Raw genomic sequence first — 22,952 nt, 5'->3', positions numbered from 1 at the left:
TAGAAATGGTGTGGCTGGGACCCAATCCCAGGTCTGGGTGAGGCCAAAGCTCAGCCTGTGGACACCACATCTACAAAATCACATGGTAGGGGCAGAAAGTGAAGGTGCCACGGTGAGATGCACAGAGAAGCTGTGGAGGGAAGGTTGGAGAGCCCACTTCCGGCTGGCTGGCTCTAAAAAATGCTAATGTCTTTGACTCAAACAGAAAATATTACTAGGTTCATAGAGCCCCGTTGTAATGATAAATAGCCAAATAGTTAAGAGGCTGCAGGCCCCAATTCTAACGCTCCTCACTTCCCTTCGAACCCAGCCTCAGAGATGACACTTAGGCTGCACATTCCCTGTGGGCAGGGACTGTGTCTTGTTCCCTGTTGGGTCCCCGGAACCCAGTGTGGTGCCTGGCACAGAGGAGGCCCTGAGTAGCATGTGCTGCATTAGTAAAGGAACTCATGGCTCACAGATACTTCACAATCATTGTTGGCGCCATGCAGATGAAGGGAGCTAGACAAAAACCCACACACGTGTATTCTGATGACACACATTACGCAGACACATGCTGCCCTGTGTGTCTCCTCTGGAGGCACCTGCCTTTTCCATTATAACGTGGCTCACATAAGTGGTGTGCAGTTTTTCAAATTTCAATAAAAAGGAAAGACATAGTAATCTAGCTGCTTTTATAGACAGAAATAACAAAATAAAAACAGGTCTCCATCCAGGGCAAGGCAGGAGATTTGAGGGGCTTCAGCAGACAGTTCATGCCTAGATGGCGGGAACATTTTTTTTTCTTTGAGACAGTCTCTGTCTGTTGCCCGGGCTGGAGTGCAGTGGCACGATCTCGGCTCACTGCAGCCTCCGCCTTCCGGGTTCAAATGACTCTCCTGCCTCAGCCTCCCGAGTAGCTGGAATTATAGGCGTCCACCACCACACCAAGCTATTTTTTTTTTTTTTAATTTTTAGTAGAGACAGGGTTTCGTCACGATGGCCAGGCTAGTCTTGAACTCCTGACCTCAGGTGGTCCACCCGCCTCGGCCTCTGAAAGTGCTGGGATTACAGGTGTGAGCCATGGTAACTGGCTTGATTTGATTTCTGCCAGCAGGAAAAGCAGTGCTGACATGGAATCAGTAGGAAACGGGGTTTGCCCCAGGGGTGCCCCTCACCAGGCGAGGCCATGAGAGTCGCCGGAACTTCCATCCCCAATGCTTTGCCTGATGAAGCCCTGGATCACCCTTCCGGGCAAACACACGCACCGCCAGCAGCTGGAAGGCAGAATGGGGTAATCGGGTCCCACCTCAGGCACTGTAGTAGTCAGGTTTTCCAGAAAAACAGCAGGAGAGACTTTAAGGAATCGGCTCATGCGATGATCTGGTCAGGCAAGTCTGAAATCTTCAGGGCAGGCCAGGAGGCTGGAAATTCTAGCAGAAGTTTATGTTGTGGCCTTAAATCCTAAGGTGGTCTAGAGACGAATTCTTTTCTCCTCGGGGGACCTCAGTCTTTTCTCTTAAGGCCTTCAACTGATTGGGTGAGGCCCACCCACACTGTGGGAGGTAATCTGCTTTACTCAGAGTCTACTTATTTAAATGTTACTCTCATTCAAAAAAATACCCTCATAGCAACATCTAGAACAATGTTTGACCAACAACTGGGCACCAGAGCCTAGCCACGCTGACACATAAAATTAACCATCACAGGCACTTACTAGCATTGGGTGTGGCCATGGTGAAAATACCTGCTTCCTAAAAGTGTCAGAGGGTCCGGCAAGTGGCCCATGTGAGCACTCTGTCCCATCTGGCATATGATGGGTTGGCTCAGGTCTGAGTGGGGCCCTGGCTGTATGAAGGGGAGCCCAGCCTCTGGATTCCCATACGTGTCAGCAACAGTTGGGCCTCCTCTATGACCAGGGGCTGCATTCCACAGGTTTGGAGGGCAGCCTGGGTGCAGGGACGCATCCTCCTGCCTTGTTCTTCCTGGCAGCACAGAAGTCCCGGGTGTCAGCAGCCTGTTTCCAGATGGCCTAACCATGGGGTCACTGTTGAGCTCCACCCGAGGGCAGTGATACAAATGCCCTAGCTGAGGGGACTGGATTGTATCCCAAGGAGAGCCAGCTCCAGTGACCCATCTCTGTGTCCTTTGACAAGCTAAAGGAGGGACCAGGCCCTCAGAGACAGCCATCTGAGAACGCCTTGCAGATCACCAAGAGGCCCTTGGCAGACAGTCCATGTTGTATATGACGAGGTTAAACACAAAAGAGCACAGCTTACAGCAAAAGCATGGACAAAGGAGAATTCTTTCCCTAAGCATTCATGTGCAGTCTGTGTAAGTTCCCAGATCTCCTCTATCCAATAGTTTTCAACCATTGACATTGACTTAAAACACCTGAAACAAAATTTAAAATTGAGAAAGGATGACTTTGTTGAAATCATACTCACCTTAAAAATGTCCATTCCAGCTGGGCGAGGTGACTCACACCTGTAATCCCAGCACTTTGGGAGGCTGAGGTGGGTGGATTACCTTAGGTCAGGAGTTCAAGACCAGCCTGGTAAAACCTCATCTCTACTAAAAACACAAAAATTAGCTGGGCATGGTGGCGGACGCCTGTAATCCCAGCTACTCAGGAGGCTGAGGCAGGAGAACTGCTTGAAATGGGGAGGTGGAGGTTGCAGTGAGCCGAGATCACGCCACTGCACTTCAGCCTGGGCGACAAAGCAAGGCTCCTTCTCAAAAAAACGAAAAAAAAAGTCCATTCCAGGCTTGATGGAAGAATGATGGGGACATGTGCACTGCTGCTTCCAAGACAGTGGGCTTCATGCGTATCCAGAACAGGAGTGCACTGGGCCACGGGGAGGGTGAGCAGAGGGTCTGCCGCTCTGTGCATCCTCTGCACACCCATGGCAGGAGTGGATGAAGATGGAAAAGAGATGTTGGAACTTGTCCTGCAGCTCCTCTTCATTCTTCTGTGAGACAGTAAAGAAGGACTTGAATATTGATGAACGTCTACCACAAGTCCCAGTCACAAGAATCACACACCTTCTCTCCCTTCCACAAGGTGAAACAAGACAACTCAAGGTCAAGGTAACCTGTGTAAAAGGACGACTAAATGTGAAACGGTGCCTGAAGGACCAGCGGACAGCAGGCACCTCTCTCTGAACTCCAGCTCTTGAGCCAAATCAAATGGTTGAGCTGGTTAAGTGGTCCCAGTTTAAAAGATGGGTGTCTGTCTTGACCGGGCACAGTGGCTCACATCTGTAATCCCAGCAATTTGGGAGGCTGAGGCAGGAGGATTGCTTGAGTTCAGGAGTTTCAGACCAGCCTGGGCAACATAGCAAGACCTCATCTCTACCAAAAAAATTAATTAGCTGGGCACGGTGGTGCGCACCTGTAGTTCCAGCTACTTGGGAGGCTGAGGTGGGGGGATTGCTTGAGTTCAGGAGGTTGAGGCTGCAGTGAGCCATGATCATACCACTGCACTCCAACCTGGGCAACACAGCAAGACCCTACCTCAAAAAAAAAAAAAAAAAAGATGATGTCTCAAGCAAACGCTTCAGGAAGGATTCCCTGGTGGTTAAAAGCAAATGTTTCCAGAGGAAATTGGCATCGCTGTGAGTCTCAGAACAGCTTTGTCTCAGACCCCGCCCTTCCTACCCATGGCCTCAGGACTAGTTGTCTTTCTCTTTCCCTGATTTCATTTACACTTCAACAGTTACTGAGGGCCTAGCTCACGCCTGTAACCCCAGATACACATGGAGGCAGCGGGGGATTGCTTAAGGCCAGGAGTTTAAGACCAGCCTGGGCAACATAGTGAGTCCCTGTCTTTAAAAACAAAATAAAAATAAAAATTAGGCCAGGCACGGTGGCTCACACCTGTAATCCCAGCACTTTGGGAGGCTGAGGAGGGTGGATCACCTGAGGTTAGGAGTTCGAGACCAACTCGGCCAACACGGTGAAACCCTGTCTCTACTAAAAATACAAAAATTAGCCAGGTATGGTGGCGGGCACCTGTAAGCCCAGCTACTCGGGAGGCTGAGGCAGGAGAATCCCTTGAACCTGGGAGGGGGAGCTTACAGTGAGCCGAGATTGCGCCACTGCACTCCAGCCTGGGTGACAGAGCGAGACCCCATCTCAAAAATAAATAAATAAATAAGCCAGGCTGGAGGCCCGTGCCTGTAGTCCCAGCTACTAGGCTGAGGTGGGAGGATCGTTTGATCAAGCCCAGGAATTGGAGGCTGCAGTGAGCTGTGATCTGATCGCACCACTGCACTCCAGCCTGGGCAACAGAACAAGACCTCTATCTCTTAAAAAATATAGGCAAATAAGTAAGAACCTACTTTGTGCCAGGCACTGTTCTTAGACCCGGGGCTCCAAGACCCTTCCTGCCCTCACAGCGCTAACATTCTTGGCCCTCACATCCTTCATTTCTACCTCAAAACCTACCACTCACAAATCTTGATCTCCAGTTGAGACCCAATCCCAGAGCTCTAGCCCAGCTGCTCCACCTGGATGGCACATCATCAGCTCTAGCTCACCACGACCCAACTGAACTTTTCTTACCCCCTCACCAGCTCCGGCCCTTTATGTCCCTATTACTGTCAATGACACTGCCATTCACCCCCCCACCCCAGCCCCAGACCTCAATAACAATAGGATCAAATCCCATCTACTGAGTGCTGAACATGAACCTGGCACGAATATTGTCTAATTTAACCCTCAACACAAATCTATGAGACGGGCTTCATTACAGAGGAGAAAAAAGAAGCTCAGAATGGTTAAATAATTTGCCCAAGGTCACACAGCTAGAAAGCCACATAGCCAGAACTCAAATCCAGGTCTCTTTCCAATGAACAGCTGGGTTTTTCCAGTGAGTCTGGGGACCCTTGGGATCCCCAAGACCTTCTCAGGGTGTTCATAAGGCCAAAACTATTTTCACAATAATACTAAGATGTTATTTTAGTCTTTTTCTCTCAAAAGGGTACAGTAGAGTTTCAGAAGCTTTGTGATCGGTGGTGTCAAAATAGCTTGAATGAAGAGACAGATAAGAAAATCCAGCAAGCTGTCTTGTCTCTTAAGTCGGACATCAAAGAGACTTGAAAAAATATAAAACAGGCCGGGTGCAGTGGCTCACGCTTGTAATCCCAGCACTTTGGGAGGCTGAGGCGGGTGGATCACAAGGTCAGGAGTTCGAGACCAGCCTGGCCAACACAGTGAAACCCCTTCTCTACTAAAAATACAAAAATTAGCTGGGTGTGGTGGCAGGCGCCTGTAATTTCAGCTACTTGGGAGGCTGAGGCAGGAGAATTGCTTGAACCCAGGAGGTGGAGGTTGCAGTGAGCCAAGATTGCGCCACTGCACTCCAGCCTGGGCGACAGAGCTAGACACTGTCTCAAAAAAAGAAAGAAAGAAGGAAAGAAAGAAAGAAAGAAGGAAAGGAAGGAAGAAAGAAAGAAAGAAAGAAAGAAAGAAAGAAAGAAAGAAAGAAAGAAAGAAAGAAAGAAAGAAAAAGATTATAAAATATAATGCCACTTTTCTCAGTAATTTTTAAAAATTTTAGAATGTATATGGGCTGGGCACAGTGGCTCATGCCTGTGCATGGGAGGCCGAGGCAGGCAGATCACTTGAGGTCAGGAGTTCAAGACCAGCCTGGCCAACATTGCGAAACCCCGTCTCTACTAAAAATAGAAAAATTAGCCAGGCATCGTGGCATGCGCCTGTAATCCCAGCTACTTGGAAGGCTGAGGCCTAAGAATCGCTTGGACCCAGAAAATGGAGGTTGCAGTGAGCCGAGATCACGCCACTGCACTACAGCCTGTGTGATAGAGTGAGACTCTGTCTCAAAAAAAAAAAAAGAAAAGAAAGACTATATAGCTATTTGTCATAAAATATATTAATCGTGTTAACATGTAATTGGTTTATTATTGCCATTTAAAATTATTCTCAGCCAGGCACAGTGGCTCATGCCTGTAATCTCAGCACTTTGAGAGGCAAAGGCAGGCAGATCACTTGAGTCCAGAGGTTCAAGTCCATCCTGGACAACATGGCAAGACTCCATCTCCACAAAAAAATACAAAAAAATTAGCTGGGCATGGTGATGCATGCCTGTAGTCCCAGCTACTCAGGAGGCTGAGTCGGGAAGATTGCCTGAGCCCAGAAGTTGGAGGCTGCAGTGAGCTGTGATAGCACAGCTGCACTCCAGCCTGTGCGACAGAGCCAGACCCTGTCTCAAAATAAATAAATAACAAGAAAAATAAAATAAAATTATTGTTTTAATTTCTAACATGGCAAACATCAGTAGATATATCCCACATAAAGAAAATTCAATAATTTTTATGTATGTATTGATTGATTTTGTAGAGATGAGGTCTCTCTATGTTTTCCAGGCTGGTCTGGAATTCCTGGATGCAAGTGATCTTCCTGCCTCAGCCTCCCAAAGTGTTGGGATTACAGGCATAAGCCAACATGCCCGGCCCAAAATTTGATAATTTTTAAAAGTATAAGGGGATCCTAAGACCAGAAAGTTTGAGGATTGCTGATTTAAAGCTTCTCTTACCATCCTTCCTTTCCATTTTCTCGACATCTTACATCTACATTTGTTTAAGAACATTCTGCTGTTTTCTGGCCTTTAGACTGTCCTTGCTTCACCCTTGTCCAGGAATTGCTGTTTGTAGATTTATCTTGCTGCTTCCTACCCACCATCCCTTGTACTTTTTGTTTTTATAAGTCTGGACTCTTTTAATGGCCAGTTCAAGCTCAAATTGAATTGATCTAAGCATAAGGACTTTATTGGATAGATGAGGGCTTCAGGCACAGCTGGGTCCAGGTGTCCCAGTCATCATCAGGAACCTGCCTGCCTGCATCTCCGGGCTCTGCTTTCCTCATGTTGTCTTTGCTCTCAGGCAGGTTCTTTCCTCACCTGGGGACATGATGGCCCCAACAGCTCCATCCTAGGCTCAGACCAGCCTAGCATCCTCAGTAGAAAGAGAAAGATCCTCTTTTTTAGCAGGTTCATCAAAAGTCCATGGGTTGATGCTATAGCCTAGACTGATTCTGTGTTTTTGTGTGTGGCAAAATATACGTAACATAAAGTTTAACATTTTAATCAATTTTTTATTTATTTGAGACAGGGTCTCGCTCTGTCACCCAGGCTGGAGTGCAGTGATGTGATCATGGCTTACTGCAATCTCTGCCTCCCAGGTTCAAGCGATTCTCCTGCCTCAGCCTCCTGAGTAGCTGGGACTATAGGCACGCACTGCCACACCCAGCTAATTTTTATATTTATAGTAGAGTCGGGGTTTCACCATGTTGACCAGGCTGTTCTTGAACTCCTGGGCTCAAGTGATCCATCCCCCTCGGCCTCCCAAAGTGCTGGGATTACAGGCATGAGCCACCATGCCCAGCCTTACTCATCTGTAAGTGTACCGTTCTGTGGCATTAAGTATATTCACACTGTTGTGCAATTATCACCGCCATTGTTGTTTTGGGGATAGCAATCTGCCAGTTTTCCTCTAAGGAATCACCAGCCCCCAGGTCTCATTCCCTGTGCTTTAGGGGGGCTTCTGAAGTTTCAGCTTCAGGGATGCATATGAAATTCATGCCTGACCCATGAGAATTTCTCCTAGGCCACAGGGTTTGGTCCAGGGACAGCCCTGGACAGAAGATGGGTTAGTGAGAGTCAATACTCATCATCCTGGGTTATGCTAAAATTACCAGGAGAGAGGACCCTTCGTTAACATTGCTAAGCTGGTAGGATGTAAGCCTGGGGCTCCAGGGCCACTCATGGAAAGAGACTGCCCAAAATCAACAGCAAGGAAAGCAGATCCAAGAGGTAAAGCGAGAAAGATGCTGAGCACTCGGTTATCTAAGTCAATACATGGTTCTTTTCTTTTCTTTTTTCTTTCTTTCTTTTGTACTTGCAAAGAGACCCGACTAATACAATGTAGTAGGGAGAATAATAGCACCACCACCTCCCCAAAGATGTCCATGTCTTAATTGTCCTAATTCCTAGAAATGGTGACTGTTGCCTTACACAGCAAAGGGAAATTGGGGATGCAGATGGATTAAGGCTGCTAATCATATGCCCCCCCCCCTTTTTTTTTTTGAGACGGAATCTAGCTCTGTCGCCCAGGCTGGAGTGCAGTGGCACGATCTCAGCTCACTGCAAGCTCTGCCTCCCGGGTTCACGCCATTCTCCTGCCTCAGCCTCCCAGGTAGCTGGGACTACAGGTACCCGCCATCAGGCCTGGCTAATTTTTTATATTTTTAGTAGAGCTGGGGTTTCACCGTGGTCTTGATCTCCTGACCTCATGATCCGCCTACCTCAGCCTCCCAAAGTGCTGGGATTACAAGTGTTAGCCACCGCGCCTGGCCAATCATATGCTCTTAAAAAAGAGAGATTCTCCTGGATCATCCGGGTGGGCCCAACATCATCACAGAGGTCCTTTCTCACAGAAGTGGAAGAGGAAGACAAAAGACAAAAGATAGGTCCTAATGATGTGATGTGAGAGGGGCTAGACTTGCCTTCGCCAGCTTGAAGACGACAGAAGGGGCCACAAGCCAAGCAATGTGGGCAGCCTCTGGAGGCTGGAGAAGGTAAGAAAACTCTCTCTAGAACCTCCAGAGAGGCCTGCAGCCTTGTCAACACCTAAGTTTTATGCCACTAAGACTCATGTCAGACTTACACAGAACTACGGAACTGTAAAATAGTAAATTCATGTAGTTTTAACCACCAAGTTTGTGGTAATTTGTTACAGCAAATGGAAAACTAAAACATCCAGTATTTCAGCAGTTGGTTCATAACACACCTCTGTTAAAGCATAGCCAGTGACTCCACCTGCCTGCCTGCAGGACAAGCCCACACTCCTCACCCGGAATTCAGGTCCTTCATGGGCTGCTCTGTCTGGCCCCAATCTACCCTCTGGCCTCATAGTGCGATCTCCCAGGCTCAAGTAATCCTCCCACCTCAGCCTCCCAAGTAGCTGGGTCTACAGGCCTGTGCCAACATGTCTGGCTAATTAATTAATTATTTTTTTCCAAGATGGGGGTCTCCCTATGTTGCCCAGGCTGGTCTTGAACTTCTATGCTCAAATGATCCTCCTGCCTCAACCTCTCAAAATGCTGGGATGACAGGTGTCAGCCACCGCACCAAGCCGGGCCTTCTGTCTTGATCAGTACTTCTTTCAGTGTCTTCAGCCAGGATTGATCTCCTTATTTTTCTCTCTGAGCCTTTGGTGCTAAAACTAACCCAAGTCTTTCCATCTCTTCCCCTGCAAAACATGCCATGCTTCCTCTGCCTATCGTAACTGCATGTGTCTCTTCCTTCATCCCAGCTCGGCCAGGTGAACTTCTTTCCTCGGTGTCGACACACAAGACTCATTTTGGGTGAGCCTGCTGACTTGCAGATCCAAGAGGGCTCGCCTCCTTCCCAAACTGTGCACCTCACCTCCCAGCTCATCTTTTTTTTTTTTTCGAGACAGAGTCTCGTTCTGTCACCCAGGCAGGTGTGATCTCACCTCGCTGCAACCTCCACCTCCCGGGTTCAAGCAATTCTCATGCCTCAGCCTCCCAAGTAACAGGGACTACAGGTGCCTGCCACCATGCCCTACTAATTTTTGTATTTTTATAGATACGGGGGTTTCACCACGTTGGCCAGGCTGGTCTCGAACTCCTGACCTCAAGTGATCTGCCCACCTTGGCCTCCCAAAGTTCTGGGATTACAGGCATGAGCCACCTCACCCAGCCCCAGCTCATCTTCTTAGAGAGGCATCTCACCTCCACCTCCACATTCCAGGGTGGTAGCTGAGCAGCAGTCAGAGAACAATCAGCCCGGACTGGAGTAGGAAGGGGAGCTCCTGGAGGGAGGTCTTTGGGGGAGAAAATAACTCTATAGAATTGGTTATGATGATGGTGAGTTTGACAATCTGAAGATATTAAGGGCAAATACTGAAAGGAAAAAGAGCAAAGTTAGGAACTCCAGGAAGAACACAAATCTGTGCAGGAAAGGAACATAATCAAAGTATATTTCAGGCTGGGCACAGTGGCTCATGCCTGTAATCCCAGCACTTTGGGAGGCCAAGGTGCAAGGATTGCCTGAGCCCAGGAGTTGGAGACCAGCCTGTGCAACATAGGGAGACCTTTATCTCTACAAAGAATAAAAATAAATTAGCCGGGTGTGGTGGTGCATGCCTATAGTCTCAGCTATATGGGAGACTGAGGTGGGAAGATCACTTGAGCCTGGGAGGTTGATGTTGCAGTGAGCCATGATCACCTCACTGCACTCCAGCCTGGGTAACAGAGACGGACCCTGTCTCAAATCAACAACAATAATGGTGACGTATATTTTACTTGATTCTGCAGTGGGCAATATATATATACACAGTCATAATGTAGACAATATTTGTTGATTGATTACTAACCTTCAGGATCTCCCTACAGACAGAGATACAGTAATAATTTTTTTTTTCTTGAGAAGGAGTCTCACTCTGTTGCCCAGGCTGGAGGGCAGTGGCACGATCTCGGCTCACTGCCACCTCCACCTCCCAGGTTCACACAATTCTCCTGCCTCAGCCTCCCAAGTAGCTGTGATTACAGGTGCCCACCACAATGCCCGGCTAAGAGACATACTAATAATTATGACCACATAATAGAATGTATGCATAACCCCTGACAATGTATAAATGAGAATACAGAGGATTTGTGAGGTTGATGAAGAAAGGGAAGTTTGAAGGGTAGGGGCACTAATATTCTTATCTTAGTGGGTGGTCAAGAAATAGAACAACACACACCTATATCTACAAATTTACTATATGTATTATACATATGCAAGTAGATATATGTATATATATTACATATATGGTTTAACAAAAAAGTGTTATATTGGGAGATACATTGAAAGAAGTGAGGAGGGGAAGTGGGGTGTTGTAAGTGAATTAAATCATTTGCCATCATTGGAGAAATCAACAGATAATGTTTTAAATTGCTAAATCAAGAAATAGTGATATGAACATGTTATTACAACATGTCCAGGTAACCACCAAAAGACGGTTAAACAGATTTTCTCCTGGGAGTGGTGGAGGGGAATGAGTAGGGAACAATAGTACTAGAGACTGGGACTGGCACTTTCATTTTAAACTGCTTGCAACTATTATTTTCAAATTGGGGTGTTTCTTTTTTTTTTTGAGACAGTCTTGCTCTTGTCCCCCAGGCTGGAGTGTGATGTCGTGATCTCGGCTCACTGCAACCTCCCCTTCCCGAGTTCAAGTGATTCTCCTCCCTCAGCCTCCTGAGTAGCTGGGATTACAGGCGCGTGCCACCATGCCCAGCTAATTGTTGTATTTTTAGTAGAGACAGGGTTTCACCATGTTGGCCAGGCTGGTCTCGAACTCCTGACCTCAGGTGATCCACCCGCCTCAGCCTCCCAAAATGCTGGGATTACAGGCATGAGCCACCATGCCTGGCCAAATTTCGGGTGTTTCTTAAATTTATTTTTTTTTAGGAGATGGATCTTGGCCAGGCGTGGTGGCTCCCACCTATAATCCCAGCACTTTGGGAGGCCGAGGTGGGTGGATCATGAAATCAGCAGATCAAGACCATCCTGGCTAACATGGTGAAACCCTGTCTCTACTAAAAATACAAAAAATTAGCCAGGCGTGGTGGCATGCACTTGTAGTCCCAGCTACTCAGGAGGCTAAGGCAGGAGAATCGCTTGAACCTGGGAGGCAGAGGTTGCAGTGAGTGGAGATCGTGCCACTGCACTCCAGCCTGGGCAACAGAGCGAGACTCCAACTCAAAATAATAATAATAAATTTAAAAATTAAGTATATATGTACTTATTTATAATAAAATAACTAAAAAGGAAATGAATAAAAGTATATGTATGTGTGCACATGTGAGAGAGAGAGAAAGAGACAGTAGCATTCAATAAATTCTAATTTAAGGATAAGTAAGCCAAACAGATGAAGAACTAATGAAAAAAATAAAAATAAAAGCCAGTCACAGTGACTTGAAAATATAATCCCAGCTACTTGGGAGCCTGGGGAGGGAGGATTGCTTGAACCCAGGAATCCAGGGCAATATGAATATAGTGAGACCCTCATCTCTAAAACAATTTTTTTTAAGATGAAGAATTAGATATAGATGGTAAGTAATATGTCTTAAGTATGAGGCCAGGCGAGGTGGCACATGTCTGTAATCCCAGCATTTGGGAGGCTGAGGCAGAAGGATCCCTTAAACCCAGGAGTTCAAGACCAGCCTGGGCAATATAGTGAGACCCCCTCTCTACAAAAAGTGAACAGAATTAGCCAGGCATTGTGGCATGCACCTGTAGTCTCAGCTATTCTGGAGGCTGAGGTGGGAAGATCGCTTAAGCCTGGAAGGTCAAAGCTACAGTGAGCCAAGTTCACGCCACTGCACTCTAGCCTAGATGACAGAGTGAGACCCTGTCTCAAAAGAAAAAGGAAAAGAAGAAAAAAAGGAATGAACAGCATTGCCCTGGGGTGCCTGGAGAGGCTAGAAGCCTACATCACAATCCTAAGGATCATTACAGTCAAGTGATAGATTGAAAAGGCCCTAGAGGAAACATAAGGAAAGGCTGGTAAGATAGAAGAATAGAAAAGTGCAGTGTTGTAGACGGAAAAGGAGGAAGGAGCTTCAAGGAGGAAACAGTCAGCCAGGTGCAGTGGCTCACACCTGTAATCCTTGCACTTTGGGAGGCCAAAGCAAGCGGATCACTTGAGGTCAGGAGTTCAAAACCAGCCTGGCCAACATGGTGAAACCCTGTCTCTACTAAAAATGCAAAAAAATTAGCCGAGCATAGTGGCAGGTGCCTATAATTCCAGCTACTTAGGAGACTGAGGCAGGAGAATTGCTTGAACCCGGGAGGTGGAGATTGCAGTAAGCCGAGATCACGCCACTGCACTCCAGCCTGGGCAACAAGAGTGAAACTCTGTCTCAAAAGGAAGAAAAAAAAAAAGGAGGAAGCAGTCAGTCAATTAAATGCCAGGAATCGTGAGGACTGAAAAGTTAGCATTAGGACAGCAGCAAGGAGGTCCCTGGACCTCCAGTCAATGGCTAAGTCCACTCTGTGCTGTATGCACTGTATGTGCATATATTAATAAATTGGGCTGCCTGGCTGCAGAAATATGAGGGGAGAACTGCATTTTTCTCATTCACCAAGTTCCAAGCTCTCATCCACCTGGCATGTGACTTTTATCCCCTTCAAAGGAAGATAGTACTGATCGGGCACAGTGGCTCACGCCTGCAATCCCAGAACTTTGGGATGCCGAGGCAGGCAGATCACTTGAGGTCAAGAGTTTGAGACCAGCTTGGCCAATATGGCGACACCCTATCTCTCCTAAAACTACAAAAATTAGCCAGGCATGATGGCACACATCTGTAATTCCAGCTACTTGGAGGCTGAGGCATGAGAATCACTTGAACCCAGGAGGTGAGGTTGCAGTGAGGCAAGATCCAGGCACTGTACTCCAGCCTGGGTGGTGGAGTGAAACTCTGTCTCAAAAGAAAACCAAACAAACAACAAAAAACAAAGGAAGATAGCACTAAATGTAGGTTTTAGATACAAAATGTCTCCATCCTGCAGATGTGGATTTCCCCGGGGAAGGCATGCTCTGTCTGCTATAGGAGGAAAGATTGCTTCTCTATAAGCAGGCATTCAGTTTTTATTTTAACCAGACATCACCAGAATATAACCCTTCTTGGGGTGTTAAAGTGTGGCAGGCCAGGTCTCACTAATGCACGCCTCCATAACAACTGTTTGAGTACTGAATTAGTGGTTAAGTTGAATATTAGAAGCCAGTTTTCTTATACAAAGGCTGGGATGTAACAAAAGCCCATCAAGAGTTTTGCCTATATGCCTTTCCTGGGCCTTGAAGCATCACAAAATAAGGAAGGAATTCTTAACAGGACCCATTTAAGATTAAACAAGTTTTATTGTGGATCTGAAGAAATTCCGCAGGTGTCCACAAACAAGTTTACTGGGGGTCTAAAGGAACTCCCCAAACCTCTATGATTTAGCAGGAGACAAGATAAAGGTAATCACCCCAGCACCTGGACTCATTTAGATTAAGTAAACCTACTGAGGCTCCAGAGGAAGGTCTTCAGGACTCACACCTTAGTTACGGATTAAAAGATATTAATCACTTATGTCTTTAGACGAATGCACACTTACACGTAGACATATAGCTTAAAAGGTATATAAGCTCTGGAAAACTTTGTAGTTTTGAGTTGGTCTGGCGATAATTTCTAGGCCTTCTCCCTGTCGCTGGTTGCAGAAATAAAAACTCTCTTCCTCCCCAGTTTCATCTGGGTCTCATTATTGGGCCACGAGAAATAGCAGCCCGATCCTCAGTTTAGTCCAGGAACAAAAGTGGGGGAATTCTGGAGTATTTGCTCTACTCCAAACTTGCAGAGTTCCTGAGAGATGGTCCTGGCTCTAGATTGCCGAGGAAATAGTTAATTACCACAGCCCTGGGACAACCATTTGGGTAATTCCATTCAAATGCCCCAGGAATGACTCCTGCCCAGTCTGTGTTCCTAGTCAAACAATCTCTCTTTTCTTTTTCTCATCTTCCTTGAAGCAATCTAGAATATTCTTCAAAGGTCATTAGAGAGTGCCTACCTTTCATCTCGGAGATCTCCCCTTAGATCCCTGAGAGACCCACTGCTGTGGTTACCAGGCTTAGCCCCCAGTTGGGGTCCACACAGCAGAATTCTCCTCCCAGCACAGGGAGCTCCAGGGAAGGAGAGGGTTGCAGCTCCTAGGCTCCTAAGGCAGCTGGGAACACTTATTGTGTCCCTCTGTCCCCAGGCTGGGTTCCCCTTGGGAATAACTTTCTGATTCAGATGCTTCTCCCTGTAAAAGCTTTTCCAATACTCTGTAGTTTGAGCTTCCTTAATTACAGAAGCATGGGGTTCTAGCACCTTAATGTACATAAATATCACATGGGGTTCTGCTAAAACGTAGATTCCTGGACCTCACCTCCCAGAGTTTCTCATCAGGTCTGAGCCAGAGCCTAGGAATCTGCATTTTAATAAGTATCACTAAATGTTTCTGATGCACATAGTCCTGGGACTTGACTCTAGGAAACAATGCCTTACATTGAATGCAGATACAATCTATATTAAAATTATGATGTTAAGTATAATTACCTCCATTATTCAGCATATCATTGTATATTATTATTAAGTTAAATTTGTAACTATCATTAAATAATTGAATGATACAAACAAATCCCTGCTGCTGACCCAGGAACACAGAGTTGCTCATGTGAGAAGCAGATTAATTAGCAATCAATACTGAAATTTGGAGCTCATAGCTGAGACCTATTTGTTTTCTGTGTCGGCTTAGTAGCATCTCGGCCTCTTGCACCTTCTTTTCTTTTTTTTTTTTTTTTGAGACGGAGTCTCACTCCGTCACCCAGGCTGGAGTTCAGTGGTGCAATCTTGGCTCACTGCAACCTCTGCCTCCCGGGTTCAAGCAATTCTCCTGCCTTAGCCTCCCGAGTAGCTGGGATTACAGGTGCCCACAACCACGCTTGGCTAATTTTTGTATTTTTAGTAGAGATGGAGTTTCACCATGTTGGCCAGGCTGGTCTCGAACTCCTGACCTCAGGTGATCCACCTGCCTCTGCCTCCCAGAGTGCTGGGATTACAGGTGTGAGCCACGGCACCCCACTTCTCTAGCACCTTATCAGCTGCTCTGAGAGTTCTGCCTAGTTCTCTATGCACCCCAATGTAACACAAAGTGATTTCCATTCATAACACAACCATATTTCAAGTCAGATCATCCCAAACATACTTTCTATATTTAGTATCCACGCCTTAGTGTATTCCTACGATGAGATATATATGATTTTCGAACTAAGAAGGTAAGAAGCAAGCCTATGGAATTAACTTTTTACAACTTGGGACACTGGCACATCCTCAGTGAACAAAACCTGGCCGGGCTCAGTGGCTCACACCTGTAATCCCAGCACTTTGGGAGGCTGAGGCAGGTAGATCACTTGAGGTCAGGGGTTTGAGACCAGCCTGGCCAACATGGTGAAACCTCATCTCTACTAAAAATTTAAAAATTAGATAGATGCAGTGGTGCACACCTGTAGTCCCAGCTACTCAGCCGAGGCAGGAGAATCACTTGAACCTGGGAGGTGGAGGTTGCAGTGAGCCAAGATCACACCACTGCTCTCTAGCCTGGGCAGCAGAGCGAGACTCTGTCTCAAAAAAAAAAAGCTACTTTTCCAGACGAATTTGGGAGTCATTTCTCTTTATTTAGAAGCGGAATGTAATTAGATTTTATGGGCTCCATGCACAGAAAACACGGATGAAGGATTAACTCTTTGGAAGCAGAGTTCAAAACTCTTGAGTCTAAAAGGGCAATGATTCTGAACATAAAGCCATCCTACAGTTTTGCACAATCAATCAGTGGAGCAGATTGGAAATTATTCTGTTTTCATTGTTAACATTTCTTGCATGTTTGTTCCATTTTCTTAGTGTCTAAGCAATAGGTTTTGGGTAAATTTAAAGCATAAAAATCATCCACACAAAAGTATAGATAACTAAAGGGTGATGAGTTCTTATAACAAAACCTGACTTAGAGTGGTAACAGGAAAGGCAAAATGATTAAGATAACCAGTGGAGAAAAAGTGGGTGAGATAATTCAGAAGGAAGTGGGGAGAAAGAGCTGTGTACTGGTAGAGTTGGTGTGTGGCTGCTGTAGGTCATGTCAGATTCAGCAATTCATAATCATCTAGCACATTCTCAGGTCTGTTTCTATTAACTACATTTTGAACTCCATTTTTACACAGCACATGTATAAAGCCTTCTTGTCACTTCCTGTAGATGAAAAATTAATATTGGGTCATGACCTTCCTGAGAAAGAGGTTACTGGCTTAAAGAGTGTGGTTGGGGCCAGGCAAGGTGGCTTATGCCTGTAATCCCAGCACTTTGGGAGGCTGAGGCTGGAGGATCACCTGAGGTCAGGAGTTCTCAACTAGCCTGGCCAACGCAGTGAAATTCCCGTCTGTACCAAAAATACAAAAATTAGCCAGGTATGGTCACGGGCACCTGTAATCCCAGCTACTCGGGAGGCTGAGGCAGGAGAATCGTTTGAACGTGGGAGGCAGAGGTTGCAGTGAGCCGAGATCATGCCCCTGCACTCCAGCCTGGGCAACAGAGCGAGACTCCATCTCAAAAAAAAAAAAAAAAAAAGAAAAAAAAGACTCTGGTTGCATTATGAGTTATATGGGCGAGGCTTAACGAAAGCTATACTTTCTCTGGGATTTCTCCTTGACACATAGTTCCTGGTTGCATTCTTGAATTTTGTTTTCCCATCCTAGATTTTTTTCAAACCCTAATAATAATAAATAACTTAAAAATAGTAATAGACATTGCAGCCTCTAATAAATTTTTCTTAATTTTTATTTGTAGAGACAGGAGTCTCCCTATGTTGCCCAGGTTGGTCTCGAACTCCTAGTCTCAAGCAATCCTCCTGCCTCAGCCTCCCAAAGTGCTGGGATTATAGGTGTGAGCCACCATGCTCAGCCTTAGAATCTTTTTAAAAATATTTATTTATGTTTATGACACAGGGTCTCTCTCTGTCACCCAGGCTGCAGTGCAGTAATGCAATCATGGCTCACTGCAGCCTTGACATCCCAGGCTCAAGATGAAAGCAATTAATTTTTTTAAAAAAGATTACATCTATCTAGAATGCAAAATGACTGAAAGGCTCATTTATGTACTGCAACATCAATGCATCTATATATAATTTATTATTGCCCTAACATATTTGAATTCTATATTTTTATAACCCACGATTAGCAACTGTGGTAATCAAAAAGCAGACATGCACTGAAGGTGTCTATGGCAAGCTTAGAAACAGACTCATGCCTCAAGTTTAGTTACAGGCTCAGGCCTGTAATCCCAGCATTTTGGGAGGCTGAGGTGGGAGGATTGCTTGAGCCCAGGAGTTTGAGACCAGTCTGGACAACATGGCAAGACCCCCATCTCTATAAAAAAGAAGAGGAAAAATACATACACATATAATATATTATATAAATATATTTTTATATAAATATATATTTTTCCCTTTCTTTTTTATATAAATAAATATATTTATTTATTTATTTTTTGAGAAGCATCTCACTCTGTCACCCAGGCTGGAGTACAGTGGTGCAATCTTGGCTCACTCCAACCTCCACCTCCCGGGTTCAAGCGATTCTCCTGCCCCAGCCTCCTGAGTGACTGGGATTACAGGTGTGTGCCACCATGCCTGGCTAATTTTTGTATTTTTAGTAAAGACAGGGTCTTGCCATGTTAGTCAGGCTGGTCTCAAACTCCTGGCCTCAGTGATCCACCCACCTTGACCCCCCAAAGTGCTCGGATTATAGGCGCGAGCCACTGCACCCAGCCAGTATTTTTTTTTTAAATTAAAAAGAAGAAACATTGCTACAACTACTTAGAAACAAAATGGATAATTTTTAAAACTCTCTATCTGTATAGATACAGCTATAATTCTGATTTGGACATTGTGTGATTTGAGGTTGATTTCTTTTGTCGCTTCTGTCTGGCTTATCAGCAATTTTACGTGAGGTGTAGTTGTCCCTTCTTACAGTCCATTCAAACTAAAATTGATAGAACTAACTTCTTGTTAACTTTATAAAAGATATTCATGTTGACATTGGTTCAAACAGCTCTGCCATTTACTAGCTATCTGACCTTGGGCAAGTCATTGAAGCTCTCCCTAAGCCAAAGTTACACATTCTGTGGGAGGGTAATAGTATCAGTGTCATGGAGTTTTGAGACAATTACTTGAGATAATGTATATAAACTGCTTAGCAGAGTGCCTGGAATAGATTAGTTAGCACTCAATAATGTCAGCCTGTATAAACACATTGTAAGGTGATTACAGGTTCACGCCTGTAACCCCAGCACTTTGGGAGGCCCAGGCAGGCAGATCACCTGAGGTCAGCGGTTCAAGACTAGCCTGGCCAACACAGTGAAACCACCATCTCTAGTCAAAATACAAAAATTAGCCGGGCATGGTGGCAAATGCCTGTAATTCCAGCTACTCCAGAGGCTGAGGCAGGAGAATCACTTAAACTCGGGAGGCAGAGGTTGCAGTGAGTCAAGATTGTGCCACTACACTGCAGCCTGGGCAACAGAGAGAGACTCCATCTCAAAAAAAAAAAAGTTATCTTTAAATGCAATGGGTTTATTATTGTCATTTTAACATAAATTATTAAAATGTATCCACTTAAATTTCAAATGGGGTAAATATAGAAATATATAATGTACATAAACAAAAGATCTTTGGTGTCCTCAATAATTTTAAGTGCAAAGGGGCCTTGAGGTCTTGGAAGACAGCTGTCTCTGGGAAGCCAGGCTCAGGGAAAGCAGTGTTTGTGGCATAGGCTATGTGAACAGAGGGCAGGACTGCAAAGCAGCCAATGAGATTTTCTTCTGATAACTAAAAATACAGTCTTAAAATGTAACAAGTCACTACAGAGAACAAATGACAAACAACAGAGTATGTTGATGGCTATTGGGATAAAGACTGGTTTTAAGACCACTGTCTGTTATACTTGAATTTTATCTTTTTTTTTTTTTTTAAGGTGTGCACTTTTATTCAACTGGTCTCTACAGGTAAGCCCTGAATGCCTCCACACCTCCACCCACTCCCAGGGAGACCAAAAGCCTTCATACGTCTGAAGCTGGGGGACAAAAAAGGCGGGCCACGATGGCTGATCATTCAAAATAAAACAAAAAAGTATAAGGGGGAGATTTTAAAAATTTTGCATTACATAATTTACATGAAAGCAATGCTATCACCTCCCCTGTGTGGACTTGAGAGTGGACTCGGCCATTCTCCTTAGACAGAAGTGGGCTGGATTTTGGGAGGGCAAGGGACTTCCTGTAACAATGCACCTCACAATATTTAGAATGACTATTTAAAAAAGAATAATGTGGCCTGACACGGTGGCCCACGCCTGTAATCCCAGCACTTTGGGGGATGAGGCAAGCAGATCATTTGAGGTCAAGAGTTTGAGACCAGCCTGACCAACATGGTGAAACCCCGTCTCTACTAAAAAAAGACAAAAAAAACCTGACCAACATGGTGAAACCCCATCTCTACTAAAAAAATACAAAAAAAATTAAAAACCTGACCAACATGGTGAAACCCCGTATCTACTAAAAAAATACAAAAAAAAAAAACAAAATTAGCTGGGCGTGGTGGCACATGCCTGTAGTCCCAGCTACCAAGAGGCTGAGGCAGGAGAATCACTTGAACCTGGGAGGTGGAGGTTGCAGCGAGCCAAGATCACATCACTGCACTCCAGCCTGGGCAACAGAGTGATACTCTGTCCCAAAATAAATAAATAAATAAAATAAATATTAAAAAAAGAAAAAAAAGAACAATGTACAGTCAAAGTCCTTGGCCACACTGTAGAACTTTGGAGGATGCTCACTCCAACCGACTGCTGTCACCTTCACAGTTTCAGTTTTTAAACCCAGAGTCAAGCCAAAAACAAACACAAACACAAACACACACACACACACAAACAAAGCCATGCCAATCTCATCTTATTTTCTGCGCATTAGGTTTTTGTCAAGAAAGGGTGTAACGCAACTAAGGAACAGTCCGCCTAGGAGCATTTTCAGTGGACAATGGAAGGACTGGAGTCATCATATTCTTGCTTGCTCATCCATAACTGCTGGAAGGTGGACAACGAGGTCAGGATGGAGCCACGCATCCACAGAGTATGTGCACTCAGAAGGAGCAATGATCTTGATCCTCCTCATGCTGGGAGCCAGGGCAGTGATCCCCCTCTGCATCCTGCAGAGCGATGCCAGGGTACATGGTGGTGCTGCCAGATAGCACTGTGTTGGCGTACAGGTCTTTGTGGATGTCCACGTCACACTTCACGATGGATTTGAAGGTAGTTTTGTAGATGCCACAGGATTCCATGCCCAGGAAAGAAGGCTGGAAGAGCGCCTCGGGGCAGTGGAACCGCTTGTTGCTGCTGGTGATGACCTGGCCATCTGACAGCTCATAGCTCTTCTCCCAGGAGGACCCGTGGGGCCATCTCCTGCTCAAAGTCCAGGGCGACTTAGCACAGCTTCTCCTTGATGATGTCACACAGGAGCTCTCCCTCTGCGGGTGGTAAAGCTGTAGCCGCACAATGTGAGGATCTTCATAAGGCGGTCGGTCAGGTCCTGGCCAGCGAGATCCAGACGCAGGATGGTGTGGGGGAGGGCGTGCCCCTCATATATGCACACAATGTGGGTGACCTGTCGCCAGAGTCCATCACGATGCCAGTGGTATGGCCAGAGGAGTACAGGTACAGCACGACCTGGATGGCCACGTGCATGGGTGGGGTGTTGAAGGTCTCCAACATAATCTGGGCCATCTTCTCATGGTTGGCCTTGGGATTCAGGGGGCCTTTGGTCAGCAGCACAGGGTACTCCTCGAAAGCCACATGCAGCTCATTGTAGAAGGTGTGGTGCCAGATCTTCTCCATGTCATCCCAGTAGATGACCATGCCGTGCTAGATGGGGTACTTCAGGGTCAGGATGCCTCTCTTGCTCTGGGCCTCATCGCCCACATTGGAGTCCTTCTGGCCCATGCCCACCATCATGCCCTGGTGTCGCGGGCGCCCCAAGATGGAGGGGAAGGCGGCCTACGGGGCATCGTCACCTGCGAAGCTGGCCTTGCCCTTGCTGGAGCCCAGTGATATCACCCTGGTGAGCTGGCGGCACATGCGGACCGGCTGTGGAGTGGCGAGGGCGAGGCTCTGTGCAGGTGGGGCAGATGTAGTCTTGGCGGTCTGAATTTTATCTTTTTTGTTTCTTTCTTTAAGAGATGGAGTCTCACTCCGTCGCCCTGGCTGGAGTGCAGTGGCGCGATCTCGGCTCACTGCAACCTCTGCCTCCCGGGTTCTAGCAATTCTTCTGCCTCAGCCTCCCGAGTAGATGGGATTACAGGCGCGTGCCACCATGCCCAGCTAATTTTTTGTATTTTAGTAGAGACAGGGTTTCACTGTGTTGCCCAGGCTGGTCTCAAACTCCTGAGCTCAGGCAATCCACCCGCCTCGGCCTCCCAAAGTGCCAGGATTAGACGTAAGCCACTGCGCCCAGCCGATTGAATGTTATCTTTTGAATTCAAGTTGAATAACACAGTCAAGAAGAATAAAAGCTAAGGTTTAAGAGACAGTGGCTTAGAGATCATGTCCTCAAGGTACCTAGCACACAAAAAGTGCTCGGTAAAAAAACCTCTAATGAAAACCTAGTGTGTTGTCTGAGAATTTTCAAATGTTCATTGGAAAGATAAAGATCACAATATTAAGGAAATAATAACAAAATGCTTTTAATTGTGGCCGGGCGCAATGGCTCACACCTGTAATCCCAGCACTTTGGGAGGCCAAGGCAGGCAGATTGCCTGAGGTCATGAGTTCGAGATCAGCCTGGCCAATATGGTGAAACCTTGTCTCTACTAAAAATACAAAAATTAGCCAGGCACGGTGGCACATGCCTGTAGTCCCAGCTACTTGGGAGGCTGAGGCACAAGAATCACTTGAACCCAGGAGGCGGAGGTTGCAGTGAGCCCAGATCATGCCACTGCCCTCCAGCCTGGGCGACAGAGCAAAATTCCATCTTAAAAACAAAGTTTATAATTCCATTACAATATGACTATTTCCATTTTTTTTACATTTCCACTAACAGGTATATCTTTTTTTTTTTTAAAGAGATAGGATCTCACTGTGTTGCCCAGGCTGACCTCAAATCCTGGGCTCAAGCAATCCTCCTGTCTCGGCCTCCTGAGTAGCTGGGACCACAGGCACATGACACCACCTCTGACTAAGTATACATTTTTATTTATTTTTATTTTATTTTATTTATTTATTTTTGAGACAGTGTTTTGCTGTCGCCCAGGCTGGAGTGCAGTGGCACGATCT

At 46.0% G+C, this 22,952-nt stretch overlaps 1 pseudogene, besides 1 other annotated feature; it reads right to left on the bottom strand.

Annotated features, from left to right (window-relative positions):
• Positions 19,925-20,004: a silencer, noted in NCBI's record as "silent region_2425". NCBI's record gives its function as "represses an Ori minimal core promoter by ATAC-STARR-seq in GM12878 lymphoblastoid cells {active_cell/tissue: GM12878}" and the evidence as "EXISTENCE:reporter gene assay evidence [ECO:0000049][PMID:35858748]".
• On the bottom strand, positions 20,621-21,725 carry ACTBP14 (ACTB pseudogene 14; annotated as a pseudogene).

This window comes from Homo sapiens, chromosome 10, assembly GCF_000001405.40.
Source record: "Homo sapiens chromosome 10, GRCh38.p14 Primary Assembly".
Lineage (NCBI taxonomy): Eukaryota > Metazoa > Chordata > Mammalia > Primates > Hominidae > Homo > Homo sapiens.
Note: the sequence above shows the minus strand (reverse complement) of the source record. Positions and strands in the feature narration are given on the sequence as shown.